This window comes from Homo sapiens, chromosome 15 (assembly GCF_000001405.40).
Source record: "Homo sapiens chromosome 15, GRCh38.p14 Primary Assembly".
NCBI classification, from domain to species: domain Eukaryota; kingdom Metazoa; phylum Chordata; class Mammalia; order Primates; family Hominidae; genus Homo; species Homo sapiens.
In genome coordinates, this window is record NC_000015.10 from 76,131,052 (window position 1) to 76,149,669 (window position 18,618).

Sequence of the window (18,618 nt, forward strand, 5' to 3'; positions counted from 1 at the left end):
CACAGGGCTAATACCTTGTGTAGCATGTAAAATACTAATTTGGGGCTAGGCATGGTGTCTCATGCCTGTAATCCCAGCACTTTGTGAGGCTGAGGTGGGTGGATTACCTGAGATCAGGAGTTCGAGACCAACCTGGCCAACATGGTGAAACCTAAAAACACAAAAATTAGCCAGGCGTGGTGGCAGGCACCTGTAATCCCAGCTACTTGGGAGGCTGAGGCAGGAGAATTGCATGAACCCAGGAGGCGGAGGTTGCAGTGAGCTGAGATCACGCCTCTGCTCACTGCTCTCTAGCCTGGGCAACAAGAGCGAAACTCTGTCTCAAACAAACAAACAAACCTCATTTGGAAATACAACTTGTTGTTAAAACACCATTCTGGAAAGAAGGCTTGCTCACCTGGCTTCCCATTTATGGATATCTCAATTCTGACTTCATTGTCAGTTGGGTTTAGACATTCTATGTGATCAATCTTAGTCTCAGAAGACTTTATTAACTTGAGGTTTTATAAAGAGAACATAAAAAGATTGATACTGATTAAATCTGTTATGGAATTTTATAAGACTTAGTATAAAATGGATATGAAATCCCAAATACTATAGAGGACAGTTCTGTTTTTCATGCTTAGACCCTCCTTACTAAGGAATACTAAGGGAAGGTGAAGCCCTTGGTAAGATGTGGTTACAAAACATCTGTCCATTTCTCCTTGGTGTTGGCTCTGAGCCTTTGTCCCTTGCTTCTATTGCCCCACAAACATCTGGTGTGGATATGATTGGTGGCTTCCTCCTTGGCTGCCCTTCTGCTTTTAGAGAGCTCTCTGTCTCTGTTAATTCCAGTTGCTCTAAGTTCAGACTTTCCCAGGATTTCCTTAAGTTTCTTTAACTTGAGCACTCTCTTTTCTTAATTACACATTGCTTAAAGGAACTTCCTCGCTCCTTTAAGAACCTGGGTTCTGAGTTATTTTGTCTGCATATCTTCTGCTGGGTTGCCCTGTCTCCCAGAAGACTTCTAGATGGTACTGTAGCACTGGTTGATAGAAAAGTATATGCTGTTTACCAATCCAATTTTTTTTTTTTTGAGATGGAGTCTCGCTCTGTCGCCTAGGCTGGAGTGCAGTGGCGTGATCTCGGCTCACTGCAGGCTCCACCTCTTGGGTTCCAGCAATTCTCCTGCCTCAGCCTCCTGAGTAGCTGGGACTACAGGCGTCTGCCCCCATGCCTGGCTAATATTTTTGTATTTTCAGTAGAGACAGGGCTTCACCGTGTTAGCCAGGATGGTCTTGATCTCCTGACCTCATGATCCACCCGCCTCAGCCTCCCAAAGTCCTGGGATTATAGGCGTGAACCACCGCGCCTGGCCTACCAATCCAGTTTTTAAGAGTATATTCAGCCATCTAAATGTGTTGGAATATACTCAGGTTCAACAGACTATGCCCTTTTAATTTATAAAAAAATAATTATTATGGGCGGGGCACAGTGGCTCATGCCTGTAATCCCAGCACTTTGGGAGGCCGAGGCGGGCGGATCACTTGAGGTAAGGAGGTCAAGACCAGCCTGGCCAACATGGTGAAACCCCATCTCTATTAAAAACACAAAAATTAGCCCAGGTGGTGGCGCATGCCTGTAGTCCCAGCTACTCAGGAGACTGAGGCATGAGAATCACTTTAACCCAGGAGGTGGAGGTTGCAGTGAGCCAAAATTGCGCCACTGCACTCCAGCCTGGGAGATAGAGCGAGACTCTGTCTCTCAAATAATAATAATAGTAATTATTATTATTATTATTATTATTATTATTATTATTACTGGCCAGGCACAGTGGCTCACACCTGTAATCCCAGCACTTTGGGAGGCTGAGGTAGGTTGATCACTTGAGCTCAGGAGTTTGAGACCAGCCTGGGCAACATAGCAAAACCCCGACTCTACCAAAAGTCCAAAAAATTAGCTGAGTGTGGTAGTACGTGCCTGTAATCCCAGCTGAGGCTTAGGTGGAGGGTCACTTGAGCCCAGGAGGTCAAGGCTGCAGTGAGCCAAGATCGCACCACTGTGCTCCAGCCTGGGTGACAGAGTGAGACCCTGTCTAAACATAAATAAATAAATAAATCAGGCCGGGCGCGGTGGCTCACGCCTGTAATCCCAGCACTTTGGGAGGCCGAGGCGGGCGGATCACCTGAGGTTAGTAATTCGAGACCAGCCTGACCAACATGGAGAAACCCCGTCTCTACTAAAAATACAAAAACATTAGCTGGACGTGGTGGTGCATCCCTGTAACCCCAGCTACTTTGGGAGGCTGAGGCAGGAGAATCGCTTTAACCCAGGAGGCGAGGTTGCAGTGAGCTGATATCATGCCATTGCCCTGCAGCCTGGGTGACAAGAGTGAAACTCCATCTAAAAAAAATAAATAAATAAAATAAATAATAATAATGAAATCCAACACTTATATAGTACTTACTAAGTGTCAGACGCTATGCTAGTGTCTTACAGGCATGACCTCATGTAGTTAGTTCTGTTATTATCCCCATTTTTCAGGTGGGGAAACTGAGGATGGGGGTGTAAGTAGCTCACTCCAGGTCACAGAGCTAGTAGGTGGGAGTGAGGCTCTGACTGTGGCAGCCCAGCTCCAGGATCTATTCTTTCTCTCCGCTCTCGGAATGAGCTGAGAGGAGAAGAAGAGAAAAGCCTGCATGAAAAGACAGAACTACTGGAAGGGAAAGGGAAGTGGGAGAAAAAATACATGGAAAACATTTGAGATTTTTTAGACAAACCTTATTTTGAAGCCTCTCAAAGCTGCAGTATAAAGGGATGCTGTTTTGGGGGGCACAGCAGTTTAGTGGGAAGAACTGTGGATGAGAAGTCAGAGAACCTGGGCACTAACCTGGCTCTTCTACCATCTCTGTGACACAAAAAAGTCATTTTGTCACTCTGGCCTTGTTTCCTCATCTAAAAAAGAGAAATTATGCTTATTATTACTCTTCCATAGGGTAATTGTAAGAATCTATTCAACATTACTTTGAAGAAAAGTGCTAGATGGAAGAAAGTTCTAAGGACTCCCATTTTTAGATGAGCTTAGGAGGACTTTGGTTTGGCATCTGAAGGTAATAAGTTCCTATTTTTGTTTTCAGGGCACTATATTTGTATGTGTCTTGTAGAACCCACGCTTGGAAATGCTGACAGCAGGCTTCAGGACAGCTGAGCCCCACTAAACACCAAGAAAACCCATGGCTGTGGCTCCATCTTTCAACATGACCAATCCACAGTAAGTAATGCTGGGATCTGCTCTCTGGATCCAGAACTGTGGCTATAAATCTCCCAGAAGATGAAGATCTTCTAATTTAGGCAGCCACTATGTACATTTCCTTTAGCAGGAGGCCACAGAAAATGGAGAAACCTTTCAAAAGCAAGACTCAAGACAAGATTAGGAAGCGCTGAAGGTGAATTAATAAAATGGGAATCGCAAGGAAATTTAGAAATCTGAGAGGGTTTCTAAAACCAGGCTTTATGAAACCCGGGGCAGAATTCTTAAGGGAGAATTGCTTTCATTTCCCAAAACCTGAGATGCCATATGAACCAATCACTTAATCTTACCAAGCACCTGCAAGGTGGTCACTTATTTTGTGTTTTGCAACTGGTTGGTATGAATACTAAGATGAAAACAGCACTCATTCTATTACACCACACTGTCCTGGCCTATCTAGATATGGGCCTGACTGCTCTGTCATCTGGAGTATGAATCTGTTATCTATTGACACAGTAATGCTGTGTAACAACCAACCATAGAACCTTAGTAGAATACAACAAAAAATGTTTATTGCTCACATGTCTGGGGTACTCAGCTAGACAGCTCCTCTGATCTTGGCTGGGATGACTTTTAAATGTGGGTGATAGCTGGCTGTCAGCTGATCTAGAGGAGGCTGGACTCTGCTCCACGTCTCTCATCCTCCAGTAGGCTAGGCTGCTCACCCTCTCATGGGTGATGTTGGAGGTACAAGAGCACAGGCAGAAATTCACAGAGCCTTTTCATGCCTCTGCTGGTGTCTAACCTGGCTCTTCTACCATCTAACATCTCGTTGGCAAAAACAAGTCACATGGCTGAATGCTGAATCAAGCGTTCAGCATTTTTGATGGAAGGAGCTATGAAGTTATATGCCAAAGGGCATAGGCTCAAGGAGAGGTAAAGAATAGAACCATTAATACATTTTGTCTACCATACCGTTCTTTGTATCTAAGGAAAGGGTGTAGGCTAAATATAGCCTATACACTGTGGGACCTTCACCTCACCAGAGGGGGCCTTGTCTCTCTGCTGAGGTGACCACCACATGGCCAGAGATGGTGCCGGGCCGCTGGGACCACTGATGGAAGGGGAACGTGAGGCAGAAACGTTGGAAAGCCAGAAATAGTTTGTTCGCACTTCTTAGAGCCATATCCTGTTAATTTCTCTTATTGATCAGAAAGTTCTCTTTGTTTAGTTCAGTGATCCATAGTTTCCTTGAGTAGTCCAGAAGAAAAGAGAACAAATTCAACCCAGCATCTGCTTTTTGGGAACCATCTGGGGGAGCTGGGATTCCCCCCATAAACACCCACACTTTTATATCAATTGTTGAGAAACACTGAAACCTCACATTCTGTTTCGTTTAAAGATCTTGAGTCATTTTGTAAATGTCAAGCAATGATGAGTACTATTATCTGTGCTTGACAGGTAGCAAAAAGCAAAGGTTTAAATAAAGCCTACAAATGAGAATTGGGCATTAGAAATTACTTGGTGAATTCAGGTGGTCTAGGCAGCCAGGCTGTGGCATTCAAATAAAAATCTCACTTTCTCCTTAGTTATCGGATAATCCAAGCAAAAGAGAAGTAGGTATATTAATCTCTGAACTTCCGGGATAACTGCAGCTGTGGGTTTTTTTTTTTTTCTTTTGAGATAGAGTTTCACTCTTGTTGCCCAGGCTGGAGTGCAATGGCCCAATCTCAGCTCACTGCAACCTCCATCTCCCGGGTTCAAGCGATTCTCCTGCCTCAGCCTCCCAAGTAGCTGGGATTACAGGCATGCGCCACCACATCCGGCTAATTTTGTGTATTTTTAGTAGAGACGGTTTCACCATGCTGGTCAGGCTGGTCTTGAACTCCTAACCTCAGGTGATCCACCTGCCTTGGCCTCCCAAAGTGTTGGGATTACAGGCGTGAGCCACCATGCCCGGCCTGCAGCTGTGTATTATTGGTTAGATTTCAATGGTTGTTGGAAAAGTTTAGAATTTAGAGCTCCCACACAAGTATAGGGACTTGTCACTCTGGAGCTCCTCCGATCTTCTCCATATGTCTGTCACCTATGTCAGATCATAGTGAGAAGGAACAGCCCTTAGGAATATTCTATTTTACCTCCTCATGTTCTGATTGGAGAAACTGAGGTTCAGGAGGAGCCCTGCAGAAGTTGGCATTCAAACCAGCACCAGAGCCCAAGAGCAGTTTACAGCAGAGAGGACTGCCATCTCAGTATTAAAACTGGGCCCTCATTACCCTGGGCACTGACCCTCAATGTTCCCTCCAATATTTAAATTTTACTCCTTGCCATTATACAATTGTTCCTTTCTAACTCTCATTGTTTGGACAGAGGCACAAGACTGAGCCCCTCAGATTCTACAGGATGAGATAGGGTCAAGGACATACTGGATGGACCGAAGATGGTGCCCCAGGAAGCTAAGGGGAAGTTTTCTAGTCCAGCATCTCTGGACAGGGTTGCTGTGGGTATGTGGGCAGGACAGTTTTTAGTCGTTATTGACATATTGCAGGATGTGTAGCGTCCCCAGCCCTACTTAAATGTCAATAATGACCAACCGTGGTCATGGTGGCAACCAAAAATGCCTCCACAAATTGCCAAATATCCCCTGGTAGATTGGGAGGCGGTACTGCCCTGGCTGAGATGCCCGGGAATGCCACTGGAGTGGTTAGTTATTGGCAGTGCCCAAGGTGAGCCTGACAGTAAGATAGGAAGAGACCCACAAGCCCTCAGACATTGGATCAAGTGACTGCCATCCCCTATTCCCAACCTTAAGAAGAGACATATGGTAGCACCAGTTCAAATAGGAAGGGAGTGGCTACCAGGGACAGCTGGAGCCTCCTGTCCTCACCACCCCAAGGCCCACTAGGTCTCTACAAGTCTCCATGCAGGCTCCTCAATCACCACAGTACATCCAGTTGTGAACAGAAACCTGTTTTCTCTATTGTGGAATAGAGAATAGAAACATTTCAAAACACCTTTACAAAGAAACTCAGGAGACAACTTAAAAGAATATCTTACTCCCATACAGAGTCCAGTGACCCAGAGTCCTGAAAGTCTAAGCCATAGTTTTGCGGGCTGGCAGTTATCCATCTGGGTCTTTACCTCCCCTTCATGAAGGACTCTGCCCCACTAAAGCTCATATTTCCAGGTCTGAGCACTTCCTCTTCCCATTCTCCCACTTTTCCCCAACCATTGAAAGAGATGGGACTGTTAGGGCCTCAGTCCAGTCCTCGGGTCCGCGGGTGGCCAGCAGGGAAGAGGGGCAACCTTAAGCTTCCTCAGCCCTCCACTGGCATAGCAGCATTCTCCCTCCTTTCCTTGAGGAATGGAAGAATTTTTTGGCCCTTGAAGATAACTCTTTCCCATTGTTCCTCCTCTCCAACCCAGGCCTGCCATAGAAGGAGGAATTTCTGAAGTTGAGATCATCTCCCAACAAGTAGACGAAGAAACCAAGAGCATTGCTCCTGTGCAGCTGGTGAACTTTGCCTATCGGGACTTGCCCCTGGCTGCTGTCGATCTCTCCACGGCGGGCTCGCAGCTCCTGTCAAATCTGGACGAAGATTACCAAAGAGAAGGGTAGGTGCTGGGACCATTGAGCTAGCTAAGAAGTCCCTGGGTTAGGCTAGGCGCGGTGGCTCACGCCTGTAATCCCAGCACTTTGGGAGGCAGAGGCGGGCAGATCACCTGAGGTTAGGAGTTCGAGACCAGCCTGGCCAACATGGTAAAACCCTGTCTCTACTAAAAATACAAAAATTAGCCGAGTGTGGTGGTGCAGCCCTGTAATCTCAGCTATTCAGGAGGCTGAGGCAGGAGAATTGCTTGAACCCGAGAGGCGGAGGTTGCAGTGAGCTGAAATTGCACCATTGCACTCTAGCCTGGGCGACAAGAGTAAAACTCTGTCTCAAAAAAAAAAAAAAAAAAAAAAAAAAAATTCCCTGGGTTTCTATGGATATCTTCCAAGAAGCAGCAGCCAAGATGAGAGATGCTAACTAGTGAGACAGCAGAGGTTCACAGCAGACCACTCAGGCCCTTTTCCTACTCACGCATTACTTCCTCAGAAAAAGGCACTGGGCACAGACAATACCTGCCAGACGACCTCTTAGGAGAATCATAAAATTTATTTTAGGACCGAGGCACTCCTTAATGACCCATCCAATCCCCTCTATGTACACTTGGGAAGAAGGGGACCCACAGTGATTAGGGACTTGCCCAAGGTCACAGAGCCCATAAGGGATGGACTTGAGCTGCACTTTCCCTTTATAAAGCAGACTGTCACTAGGAAGCAACCAGGAAGAATGTACCCTACATGCAGGAACATGCTTAGGATGTAAGGGAATCTAGAGAATTCGGCTAGGAGCTCTGCAGACATTAGGGCTCTCCCTTTCCAGGGAAGGCATGCGGAATATGTGGGTCCACAATTCAAAAAGGTGGTCCTTACCTCCTCCTACTTAGCTTGTCAATCAGCTTGGATGCCTTCGTTTCCCAATTCACTTCTCATTAGCGTGGTCTGTCTTACAAACATACTTCCTGAAGGTGAGTGGTAGAGGGCAAGAGCTAGGTGGGGCAGGGGAGAACACACCAGTTTGATGTCCTTGATTTCATGGGGCTTGGTGGTGTAGCTGAAGGCCAAAGAGGGGTAGGAACAGGTCCTAGGGTCACACAGCAGATCAGACTTCCGACTCTGACAAGGGCTTTCCCTAGCTTCACCCTGGCAGGACCTTAGGAGCCAGTTCTGGACTTTTCTTTCCTGGGTGCCAGTAAACACTTTGGAACATGCTGGCTGCTTTGAATATAAAAATGAAGGGTTGTCAGGTATTTTAGAAGCAAACGAGAAGCCTTAGCTCAAGCTAAATTTGCAGAGCTTGGATTCCCTGGGCTTGTTTCTGGAAGGAGCTTCCCACTTCCTGAGATAAACCGCCTAACAATGGTGAAACCACACACCTTTTTTTGCAGAAACTACACCCCAGTGGCTTTCTCTGAAAATATAATTTTTCCAAGTATTATGCATATTGTCATCAGGACACTGGACAAAAAAGGATAGGCAAGCAGGTCGGAGGCAGCTAAGGGACACCTGCAGTGGCAGCACTGTCCTGAGCTCTGTCAGGTCCTTACCATCTTGAAGGCCGGGCTGAAACCTGAGGCCCCTGGGCCAGGGCCAGCTTCGTGCACATGTGACCTGTGCGGTAGCGCAGAGCCCCGTACTTAGAAGGGTCCCAACACTTGGCTAAATGCTCTGCCGCTGCTGTCTTGAAATTCTTAAGGAGCCCCACATTTTCACTGGGCTCTGCAAATGATGTAGCTGGTGGGTCCTTCTCTGAGCACCCAGCAAGTCACTGCGTCACTGCTCTCTGGTGGTCAAAAGCAGTAGTGCAGCCTTCTAACATGCCCTAGCTATTTCGGAGAATTCATTTCCTGCCCCCGGCCTGAGCCTGTTAGGCCCTTTTCACGTGAAGAGTAGCATGGTATGGAGAAAAGTGGGGAAACCTTCAGGGATTCTGCTTCGGAGCAAAGCAGTGTCCACATGTGCCCCCTGTGCGTGTTACGGCACCGCGGGTGGACCTTGCTATGGGTGTTCCCCCACCAGGTGTACCACCCTGTGATGTACCCCTTTCAGGGGTCCTGTGCTGTGGTGTACCCCTTTCCAGGTATCCCCTGTGTATCACTCCCTAGCCTGAACCCCAAGGCTGGCAGAGGCTTTGCCTTATCATTCAATTTGCCTCTAAATTGGGCCTTTGCAAGGTTCCTTCCCAAACAAACGAATCCAAATGAAGCGCCTGCAAGGCAGAGAGGCCTTTGATTTGATTTGAATCTCCAGGTGTGCCCAGGAAAGCTGTTCCCGTTGGGTAAATAGGAAGCAGCCCGAGGAAGGGATCTGCCTCGCTGCTGGAGCTCTCAGCTGGGGGCGCCGATTGGCAGCCAGAGGGCTTCCTGGAGGAAGGAAGCGCAGGCACAGGACCGGAGCCAGGGGAAACTGAAGCAAAGCAAAAACACACTGCGAGGGAGGAACGGCCTCTCTCCGCGAGGCTTCTTGGCTCTTGCTGCATTTCCTGGGGTTTTCCCAAAATGTCCAACCCGGCCCTTTCTGGGGCAATGGAAAACAAAAGGAAGAGTCCTCATTTACAGCTCTGAGCTTGGTTTCAGTCTTGTTCAAGATGCCTCTTCCTACGAAGGCCAGTGTTATGTATAGGAATGAACCTTTTCTGTAGGGAATGAAGAGACCTCAGGGACCCTGGCAGAAAGTGCTCCGTGGCCCCGCTGCCCGCCTCCCAGTGCTCTTGAGCTCCGTGATATTTCAGGGCTTTTCAATTTCCCTGAATCTGAGACCGTTAGAGCTGGAAGAGACCTAAACACATCCATCCTAAACCTTCTCAAAGGCAGCAGGGCCCAGGGAGTACAAGGAACTTGTGGAAGGTCACACAGTGACAGAGACGGGGGCGGGGCATGCTAGTTCATGCCTGTAATCCCAGCACTTTGGGAGGCTGAGGTGAGAGGATCACTTGAGTCCAGGAGTTCAAGACCAGCCTGTGCAACATGGCAAAACCCCATCTCTACAAAAAAAAAAAAAAAATTAGCCAGGCATGGTGGCACGCACCTGTCATCCTAGCTGCTTCAGAGGCTGAAGTGGGAGGATCACTTGAGCCCAGGAGGTCGAAGCTTTAGTGAGCTATGATTGCTCCATTGCACTCTAGCCTGGGCAACAGAGTGAGACCCTGTCTCAACAACAACAAAACATGACAGAGACGGGAATAGAGCCCTATCTCTGTGATCCTGATCCCTTGATCCTGGCTGGCAGCACTGGGCTTCCACTTCTCAGCCTTCCCTTTCTAACATCGTGGCTGTGACTGTGGGTAACATGCATTGTCCATGTGATTCCACTTCCAGCTACCCTGTCCAATGCCTTTAACTTCTCAGTATACTTTTTTTTTTTTTTTTTGAGACAAAGTCTTGCTTTGTCGCCCAGGCTGCAGTGTAGTGGCACGATTTTGGCTCACTGCAACCTCCGTCTCCCAGGTTTAAGCGATCCTCCCACTTCAGCCTCCCAAGTAACTGGGATTACAGACGCGTGCAATCATGCCCAGCTAATTTTTTTTTTCTTTTTAATAGAGATGGGGTTTCACCATATTGCCCGGGCTGGTCTCAAACTCCTGACCTCAAGTGATCTGCCTGCCTCTGCATCCTAAAGTGTTGGGATTACAGGCGTGAGCCACAGTGCCTAGCCTCAGTGTACTTTTTTAAAAAAGCATTTTTTAAAAATGTGGTAAAATACATGTAACAAAATGTACCATCTTAACCATTCCTAAGCGTAGGCTTCAGTGGCATTAAGGACATACACATTGTTGGGTAACTATAACCAGCATGCATCTCCAGAACTCTTCTTCTTGCAAACTAGAAACTCTATACCCAGTAAACAGTAGCTTCCTGTTCCCCCACTCCTCCAGCCACTGGAAACCACTATTCGACTTTCTGTCCCTTTGAATTCGACTACTCTAAGTGCCTCCTATAAGTGAAATCATGCAGTATTTGTCCTTTTATAACTGGCTTATTTTGCTTAGCATAATGTCCACAAGGTTCATCCATGTTGTAGCATGTGTCAGAATTTCTTTCCTTTTTAAAACTGAATAATCATCCACTGTGTGACTATACCACACTTTGTTTATCCATTCATCTGTCAGTGGACACACCCCACACTGGACTGTTTTTTCTCAAATGCGTCCATATTTTAGCTACTGTGAATAATACTGCTATGAACAGACCTGTACAAATATCTCTTCAAAACCCTGCTTTCAGGCCGGGTGCAGTGGCTCACGCCTGTAATCCCAGCACTTTGGGAGGCCGAGGTAGGCAGATCACTTGAGGTCAGCAGTTCAAGAGCAGCCTGGCCAACATGGCAAAACCCCGTCACTACTAAAAATACAAAAATTAGCTGGGTGTGGTGGCGCATGCCTGTAATCCCTGCTACTTGGGAGGCTGAGGCAGGAGAATTACTTGAACCTGGGAGGCGGAGGTTGCAGTGAGTTGAGATCACGCAGCCACTGCACTCCAGCCTGGGTGACAGAGCGAGACTCCGTCTCAAAATAATAATAATAATAATACCCTGCTTTCAATGCTTTTGGGTATATATCCAAAAGCGGGAATTGCTGGCTGACAGGGTAATTCTATTTTTGACTTTCCGAGGAACTGCCATACTGCTTTCTGCAGTGGTTGCTGCACTGTTTTACATTCCACCTGACAGTGCATGAGGGCTGTGATATCTCCTTGTCTTCACCAACACTGGCTATTTTACTTTTTGTTGATAGCAGCCTTCCTAATGGGTGTGAGGTGGTTTGGTGTGCTTTAAGTCCAGGAAAGTCCTGCGGGGTGAGGAAGAAGGAGCAGTCGCCTTGATGTGAAGTCAGAGCCCCATCTTGGCCAAGCTCCTTGACTTGCCTAGAAGCCCTTTGTCCTCCAGATAGCTGCTTAGCAGAGCCCAAACGGCAGAGCTGTCTGCTGCTCCTCTCTTCACCTCTGCACTCAGGCTGCCGATGGCTCAGGGAGGAAAATCATATGGCTGTGCAGACTGGGTGCCTCCCCAGACTCAAGGTCTCCAGCCTCGACTTGATTCTCAGTTTTGCCTGGCAGTCCTCTGCAGTCCTGGTTAGTCCCAAGGTGGCCAGTTCTGATCGCTTGTGTCTGCCTCAAGTCTCCTCTTTCTTGCCCTCAGCAGATGACCTCCTCTCCCAGTACCCTCAGAAAGTAGGCACAGTCGTGGATGGGCTGCACCGCACCCCGGTCTCTTCCTTCCTCCCTTTTAGGACCTGCCCCATTCCTTGAGCTCTGATTGCCTTCCCCTCCCGCCTTCTCAGGCACCTGCTTCATCAGTTACCTCCTCACCCCATGTCATCACACTCCAGTCTCGTGTCCTCCCCTGACTCCACGTCCCTGCTAGCCACCATTACCTCTCTTTTTCTTTGAAGTCAAACTTCTTGAAAGCCTCGTGACGTTTGCTACCTCCCCTTCACCCCTCCCATTCATGTCTCAATCTGCTGCAGTCCAGCTTCAGCCTCGTCCACACCATGGAAACTGTTCTCAAGCGCATCAGCCACTTCCTTGTTGCTACAATCCTTATTGTCCTTTGTCCAGCATTTGAAACTGTCAGCTACTCCCTCCCTCTCCAGCCTCCTTGTGTCTGCTGTTATAACCATGACCTCCTGATTTTCTTTTTTATTTAATTTTTAAAATAGAGACAAGGTCTCGCCATGTTACCCAAGCTGGTCTTGAACTCTTGGGCTCAAGCCATTCTCCCGCCTCGGCCTCCCGGAGTGCTGGGGTTACAGGCATGAGCCACCGTGCCCAGCCCTTCTCCTGATTTTCCTCCTCCATCTCTGGCTGTTCCTTCCAGGCCTTTTAAAAATTGTTTGAGGTTCCTCTGCTTGTTCTTTAAATGTTGGGTTCTTTGTTTTCTGCCTTTGGCCATTTTCACTCTACTAATTTTACACACTGGGTAATTTCATCCATTCCTATTACTTAAATTAATCTCCTTCAACTGGTAACATTCAAAGTCGTGTCTCTAGCCTAGGTCTCTCTCTCTCTCTAACACTCCCGACTTAGATCCAGCTACTTTCCTGGACATACTCACAGGGATCCCAAACGTATCTCAGAATCCTGATGAGTGTCTGTGGAATGATCTATTCTTCTGCCTCTGAGTTGGCTGCATACTTGAGAGGAGAAATGTTCTTGTCTGACCTGAATCATTGCTAAAAACTGCCTTTTCAGTGACAGCACTCAGATCCAGCCTGAGGAACCATGGCCTGCCTGTCCTGGCCATCTCAAACCCAGCAAGCCCCAGATTGAACTGTCTTTTCTCAATACGTATTTTCTAGGACCCCTAACCAGTAGAACCTAGACCTCACCCACCCATTACCAAAATGCCATGTGCATTTTGGCTCATTTTAACAAGCACCTACGTCTCTTTCCTGCTGCAACAAGTACCAGTGGGTTCCAAGATGCCCCAAAGCTACACGAAGCCTGCTGTGGTTACCTCTAGTCACCTATAGTCAGCCGTAGTCACCCTGGAGTCTGTGTTCCTCCTCCCTTGCTCTGGTTCCCTCCTGACCATGTCCAGTGCCCATGAAGCTACTGCTGCCGATGGTGTCCCTTCTGGGAGTGCCAGTACCAAGTCAAGGGGCTTCAGAAACCCAAAGCCCATGCCGTGTGGGCTCCATGCAGAGTGAGGAAGGAAAGCTACCCCCATGCCAAGCCTGTACCATGCTGTCAGTGCGCGGCTTATGGCCCCAGCTCCAGTCCTATGTGCTTCTGGCCTTCACCACTCTACACCCAGGTCACCAGTTCAACCCAAGAAGCTGGGCTGGCACATCATGCCTGCTCCATCATCTGCCTCTCCCTCCCTGCCTCTACCCCATCCCCAACCAGGTGCCTCCCTCCCTCAATAGTCATCACACAAAAACCTTCATGCGTGTCCACAGACGTGAACAGACACTCAGGAGAAGGGGAGAAGGGGAACAGGGGAGGTATCTGCACCCCAGCTGAGCCGCCCACAATGCCCTGTTACATGGATAACCTCAGGGGCCAGCTCAATGTCTTCTCCTTCATGCCTCATACTCCATTATCTCCAAGCCTTGTAAATCTCTACTGCCTTAATATCTCTTCTCTGCACCATTCTCATGAAGGATTGTTAATTCCATCAGCCAGTTGCTTTGGACTGCATGTAACAGAAAACCCATCTCACACTCACTGATGCAGGTACCATGGAGTCCAGGGCAAGGGTGGCTTTGAGATTGGTCCAGAGACTCACCAGTGCCAACAAGAACCAGATTCCTTTCATCTCTGCACTCTGCTGGCCGCAGTGTCGGCTTCATCCTGATGTTGTAAACTTCATCCCATGGCTTCTGAGAGCCATGTGACCCCTAATGTGTGGAACCTGGACCTCACCAACCCATTACTACCAAAATGAGCCACATGTACACTTCGGCTTATTTACAAGCACCCCAGGCCTCCTTCCTGCTGCGACAGGAACCAGTGATTTCCACTGGAAATGGTGATTTCCACTGGTTCCTTCCAAGAGGGCTGCCTGTGGTCATCAGGCCACATCCTTCCTCTTTCATGTCTGGCAGGTGAGAGTGGCTGCCCATCACTGTCTTCTAAGAGCAACAAAGAACTTTCCCAGAAGCCTCCAGCAGCTCTCTCCTTCATGTATGTTTGGCTAGAATTGGGTCACATGGCAAGGCACAGAAAATCCATAAGCCAATCAGGCCTTCCCCTTGAACTGTATCATTTCCCAGAGTACATTACTGTTACTCCAGTGGGATGGGATAGTGTGAACATTAGAGAGAGGATCATCCACAGCTTTTAAGGAAGCCAGTTCTCCTTTCATAGCCTTCAGTCTCGAATTAGCCCTTAATTTCATCCAGCGTCTCTAGACATTGTTTGGTTTGGGAAAGCTCTGCCTTCTTAGGCTGTTTCTTCAATGACTTGGTCAGTTGATGCTTTCATTCCAATGCAGTTGGACCAGTGTCCATTGTCCTGGTGGACAGTGCTGGGGCTTTGTGTTTGCACATAACCAGAGCCCCTGATTTCTTGTTCTCATTCTGTGATGTTCTTATCAGATGTCATCCCACTCAATGGTGGAAAAGTGAAGTACAGAAAAATGAGGCTGTCAGTGAGGCTGTCAGTGAGCCAATCATCTATCTTTGGAAGAGTGACATTGAGTTTGCAAGAATCATGGTGCAGAATGGAAGTTCTGTTTTCTCTTAACCAAGCACAGTACATTGAAGGTCTGGTTAGTTTTCAGGGTCTGGGTGAGACCACAGGCAACAAAAGAGAAAATTCAGAGAGACCAGAGTCTGCACCCTAGAGAGGCCCACAGACCCGTAGGAGAAATGGTGGTGCAAGGTGGGGGTCGTCACCCCCACTTTATAAATGACACTCTGTGCACACATAGAGATAAAGATGCTCCCCATCTTTTTAGTGAAAAGAGGGTGCAAAGATGGTCATGGGTGAGGAAGTGGGATAGTCTTTGTCAAAAATAAAAATAAAGTAAGAAATGAAAGATATTCAGTGTTTAGTAAGACAGTTATTTTATATCTTAGGGTTCTAAAAGGCCCAGCCTGAGAGGTCAGCGCTGGACTCCTAGGCAGGGGAAGCTTGGAGGAAGTTCGGGTCTTGGGCAGATATAAATGGATGTTATTACTTAGAGATGATGCCAACAGCACATTTCTGCCAAACTTTACATTCAGAGGAAAAAAACATAATGGGGGCACAGGGATATTTTTCGGGATTTCAGGTTAGAAAAATAAGACAGACCCAATATAGCAAACATCTCTAAATAAGGACTGAAATAATTTTAGATATGCCAGTGAGCAAAGACTGGGGACAAAGAAAAAGGAGGGGTAGGGACCTACTAAGCCATAGCCCAAAATACCCTTCTCTCTTCCTGTACTGTCTGGCTTGAGGGCCACAGCCTCCAGAAAGTCTTCTCTCCTCTAACCCCACCAGGCTAGGTCCTCAGCTCAGTGTATGCATAGCACCTTTCCTACCTCCATCACCACACCCAGGGGTGACAATGAGCTCTGCTCCTCTCTTTACAAGTCGGTCTCCAGTACCGGGCCAGGGGCTTCCTCACGGCAGGGATCAGATCACTTGAGCCTGGAACAGGGGTGTTGACTGATCAAGGAATGACTTGAATGAATGAATCAGTGAGTGAATGGGTGGGGCTGCATGCAAATAAGGATTAGAAGAGAAGGGGAAGCCCAGTTCTGTTTGGAGTGTTTGGAGGGAGTTGGGAGCTGGTCCCTAGATCTCTGTGGAGTCGAGGAAGAGCTGCACGGGAGGCCCCAGGCTTCTTATGCCTCAGAAGTTACTACTGTGGTTGTTGGCTGGCTCACCTCTGAGCATCCCTGCTAATTCCATGCTTTCTCCACAAAGTCACCCTAGAAGAAGGAAATCAGATTTGCCTCAGAACATGCCAACTTCACTTAGTAAGGTTTTAACGTCCTGGTAGAGGAAGGAAAAGCCTTTTGGGGTTCAGGGTTATGAGGCAGATTGATCCCTGCCATGGCCATGCAACTGCAGAGTCTGGAAATTCGGCATCATATGATTTAGGATGGCTTTGCATCCTTTTTTTCTCAGGGAGGAAAAGAAAGGAGCTTCGATAATCCACTTTCTTGATGCCAGTGAGATTTGTCTATAATAAAACACCACTCCTTTCTCTAGCAAGTCAGCTGTCCCTGGACCCCAAACTGACCCTGTGACCCCTCACTCCCTTGATATTTTTAGTAGGCTCCGGTTTCAAGGAGAATTCTTGATGCCCCAACAACGGAATAAAAGTTTAATTTAGACGAAAACATTTTTCCTGATGAGCACTGGTTAGCTGCCTTTCCTGTAGTCCTGGGGTCCAGGAACCCCAGAGAAGTTTCCTAAAGAAATCAATTAAGTCTGGTTGCAGTGGCTCACGCCTGTAATCCCAACACTTTGGGAGGCCAAGGCCTGCGGAACGCTTGAGGCCAGGAGTTGGAGACTAGCCTGGAGTGTGAGAACCCCTCTCTACAAAAATTTAAAAATTAGCCAGGCGTGGTGGTGCGCGCCAGTAGTCCCAGCTTCTCAGGATTGCACCAGTGCACTCCAGCCTGGGCAACAGAGTGAGACCCTGTATAAAAATAAATAAATTTAAAAAAGGAAAAAAGGCAATACATTCACAGATGTATTATTTCTCAGCAAAATATCCGTCCGTCCCCACCTGCTCACAAGGCGCAGGGTGTACAGCGGCGGGTGACCGCTAGATGGCGGCGGAGCGCCTCCGACCACCTGGGTCGGGGGTGTGTCGGGGATGTTTCCTGGAGAGAGGGGAGGAAAGTTTAAATGCGTGGCCACGTCCGGCAAGGAAAGTTAGGTGAATTTATGGTGCTGGGATGGAATGGGAGTCCCCAGTCATCTGCAGAAGCACCTGAATATTGACTTTGGCCAAATAGAAGGAGGGAGATCATGGCTGACCCAGGATTTGCCAAACCACAGCAAACCTGGAAAGAGCTGGTGGGTGGGGTGCCGATTTGTTCCCTCGTTCTCACCCGGTAGGAAGCTGACCGCCTCCAGGCCAGTCCTGTCCTCCAAGCACAGCACAAGGAGATTCTCAGACTTGGGGCCGGTTTCCAGAATTGAGGACTTCAGGGTGGCGGGGACTTTACAGGCACTTCATCCAACAGCACCTCATTCCCACCCCTAAGTCAACCTTGAACCCCTTGCCAAAGACTTGACAAGTGGCTCCTGAGCACAGCCCACCTACATGGCAGCCCTTCTGAGATGTGTGGTCAGTGTCCTTTGTCCCCCCAAGAAGGGACAGCCAATCCATGGTGTGTGTTGGCCACTGTGCCCTGGGTGGGGGTTGCCAAGTGTATGGCAGTTTGTCCACCCCTTCACCCCCCACCTGAGCTCTTGCCACCATACCCTACTGTTTCCCAGCGTTGACATTTCCGAGGATGCAAAAAATCTGAGATTCTGGGACAAGCAAATGTCAGACTTTGGTGACCCCAGCTGCACACAACCCTCCTCCCTCTCTTCCCGCAAGGCAGCAGGGCTAATCTTTAGCTCTGATTGCAGAACTGAAGCTGCCGGTATGGAAACTTCAATTTATTTAGTTATCCCAGAGCTCTGGGAGAGTCACCTTTCACCTCCATCCTGAGAGTTCTGGTTTCGTGGTGTGTGTTTATGAGCCCGCATCTCAGAGTCTGTGTGCTGCTGTGGCTTGCCCCCTGGAATTGGGTACAGGGAACAAAGGGGAAGCTTAACAGTGTTTTTCCTGTGGTTCTGGTTCTCTCTGGGTGAGAAAGAAGCCCCACTAACAATTGCAGATGTTTTGTAAAAGGGTGTCCCTGTAGGCATTGGGTTGATGGTTCTCACAGGTTGAGATTATGCATCTCTTTAGAGACATCATACACAGTGAGCCCATTTCTTTCCTGCCTTTTTCCTCCCCTTGTTTGTTTTGCCTTTTGAGTGGTCTAGAACTAGGAACACATTGGATCATCAGAGTTCATGGATAAGGCTGTAGGCTCCGTGAGGATGAAGGCTCTGACCACCCTCCTGGGCCCAGTACCCAATACAGTGCCTAGCATTTGGTGGTCATATGAGAACCATGCCTGGAATGGAATGAATGTTGAAACTGTTTATTCATCCCCCTTCTAATGACCGTGTATCTAAATCATCACCATAGATCATAGGATAAACACTGTGTTATGGGCTTGACATATGTTATTTTTAATATTTTTAAATTTCACAACAACCTGTCAAAGCAGATATCTCCATTTCAGGGATTAGGAAACTAAGGCTCAACGATTGCACTCAGAGTTCAGTCAGTGGTACAA

The 18,618-nt window shown here is 47.9% G+C and overlaps 1 protein-coding gene across 4 annotated transcripts in view, besides 4 other annotated features; it reads left to right on the forward strand.

The window, feature by feature from the left end:
- Nucleotides 1–18,618, forward strand: part of TMEM266 (transmembrane protein 266) — a 144,979-nt gene that overhangs the window by 71,067 nt on the left and 55,294 nt on the right. For 3 of the 4 annotated variants that reach the window (XM_047432151.1, XM_017021915.2, NM_152335.5), the window contains 2 exons: nucleotides 3,117–3,250; nucleotides 6,656–6,844. In XM_047432151.1, the coding sequence (XP_047288107.1) occupies nucleotides 3,213–3,250; nucleotides 6,656–6,844 (227 nt within the window). In that variant the 5' untranslated portion in view covers nucleotides 3,117–3,212. Of the gene's footprint in view, nucleotides 1–3,116; nucleotides 3,251–6,655; nucleotides 6,845–18,618 lie in introns of those variants that run through there. The other variant, XM_005254160.4, reaches the window with a different exon arrangement.
- Nucleotides 8,366–8,525: an enhancer, noted in NCBI's record as "active region_9871". NCBI's record gives its function as "activates an Ori minimal core promoter by ATAC-STARR-seq in GM12878 lymphoblastoid cells {active_cell/tissue: GM12878}" and the evidence as "EXISTENCE:reporter gene assay evidence [ECO:0000049][PMID:35858748]".
- Nucleotides 8,366–8,671: a biological region, named in NCBI's record as "Sharpr-MPRA regulatory region 3592".
- Nucleotides 8,377–8,671: a silencer, noted in NCBI's record as "tiled region #3592; HepG2 Repressive DNase matched - State 12:CtcfO, and K562 Repressive DNase unmatched - State 12:CtcfO". NCBI's record gives its function as "represses a minimal TATA promoter and a strong SV40 promoter by Sharpr-MPRA in HepG2 and K562 cells {active_cell/tissue: HepG2 | K562}" and the evidence as "EXISTENCE:reporter gene assay evidence [ECO:0000049][PMID:27701403]".
- Nucleotides 8,757–9,590: an enhancer, noted in NCBI's record as "H3K27ac-H3K4me1 hESC enhancer chr15:76432149-76432982 (GRCh37/hg19 assembly coordinates)". NCBI's record gives its function as "activates a minimal SCP1, AML or CMV promoter by ChIP-STARR-seq in naive H9 embryonic stem cells {active_cell/tissue: H9 hESC(naive)}" and the evidence as "EXISTENCE:reporter gene assay evidence [ECO:0000049][PMID:30033119]".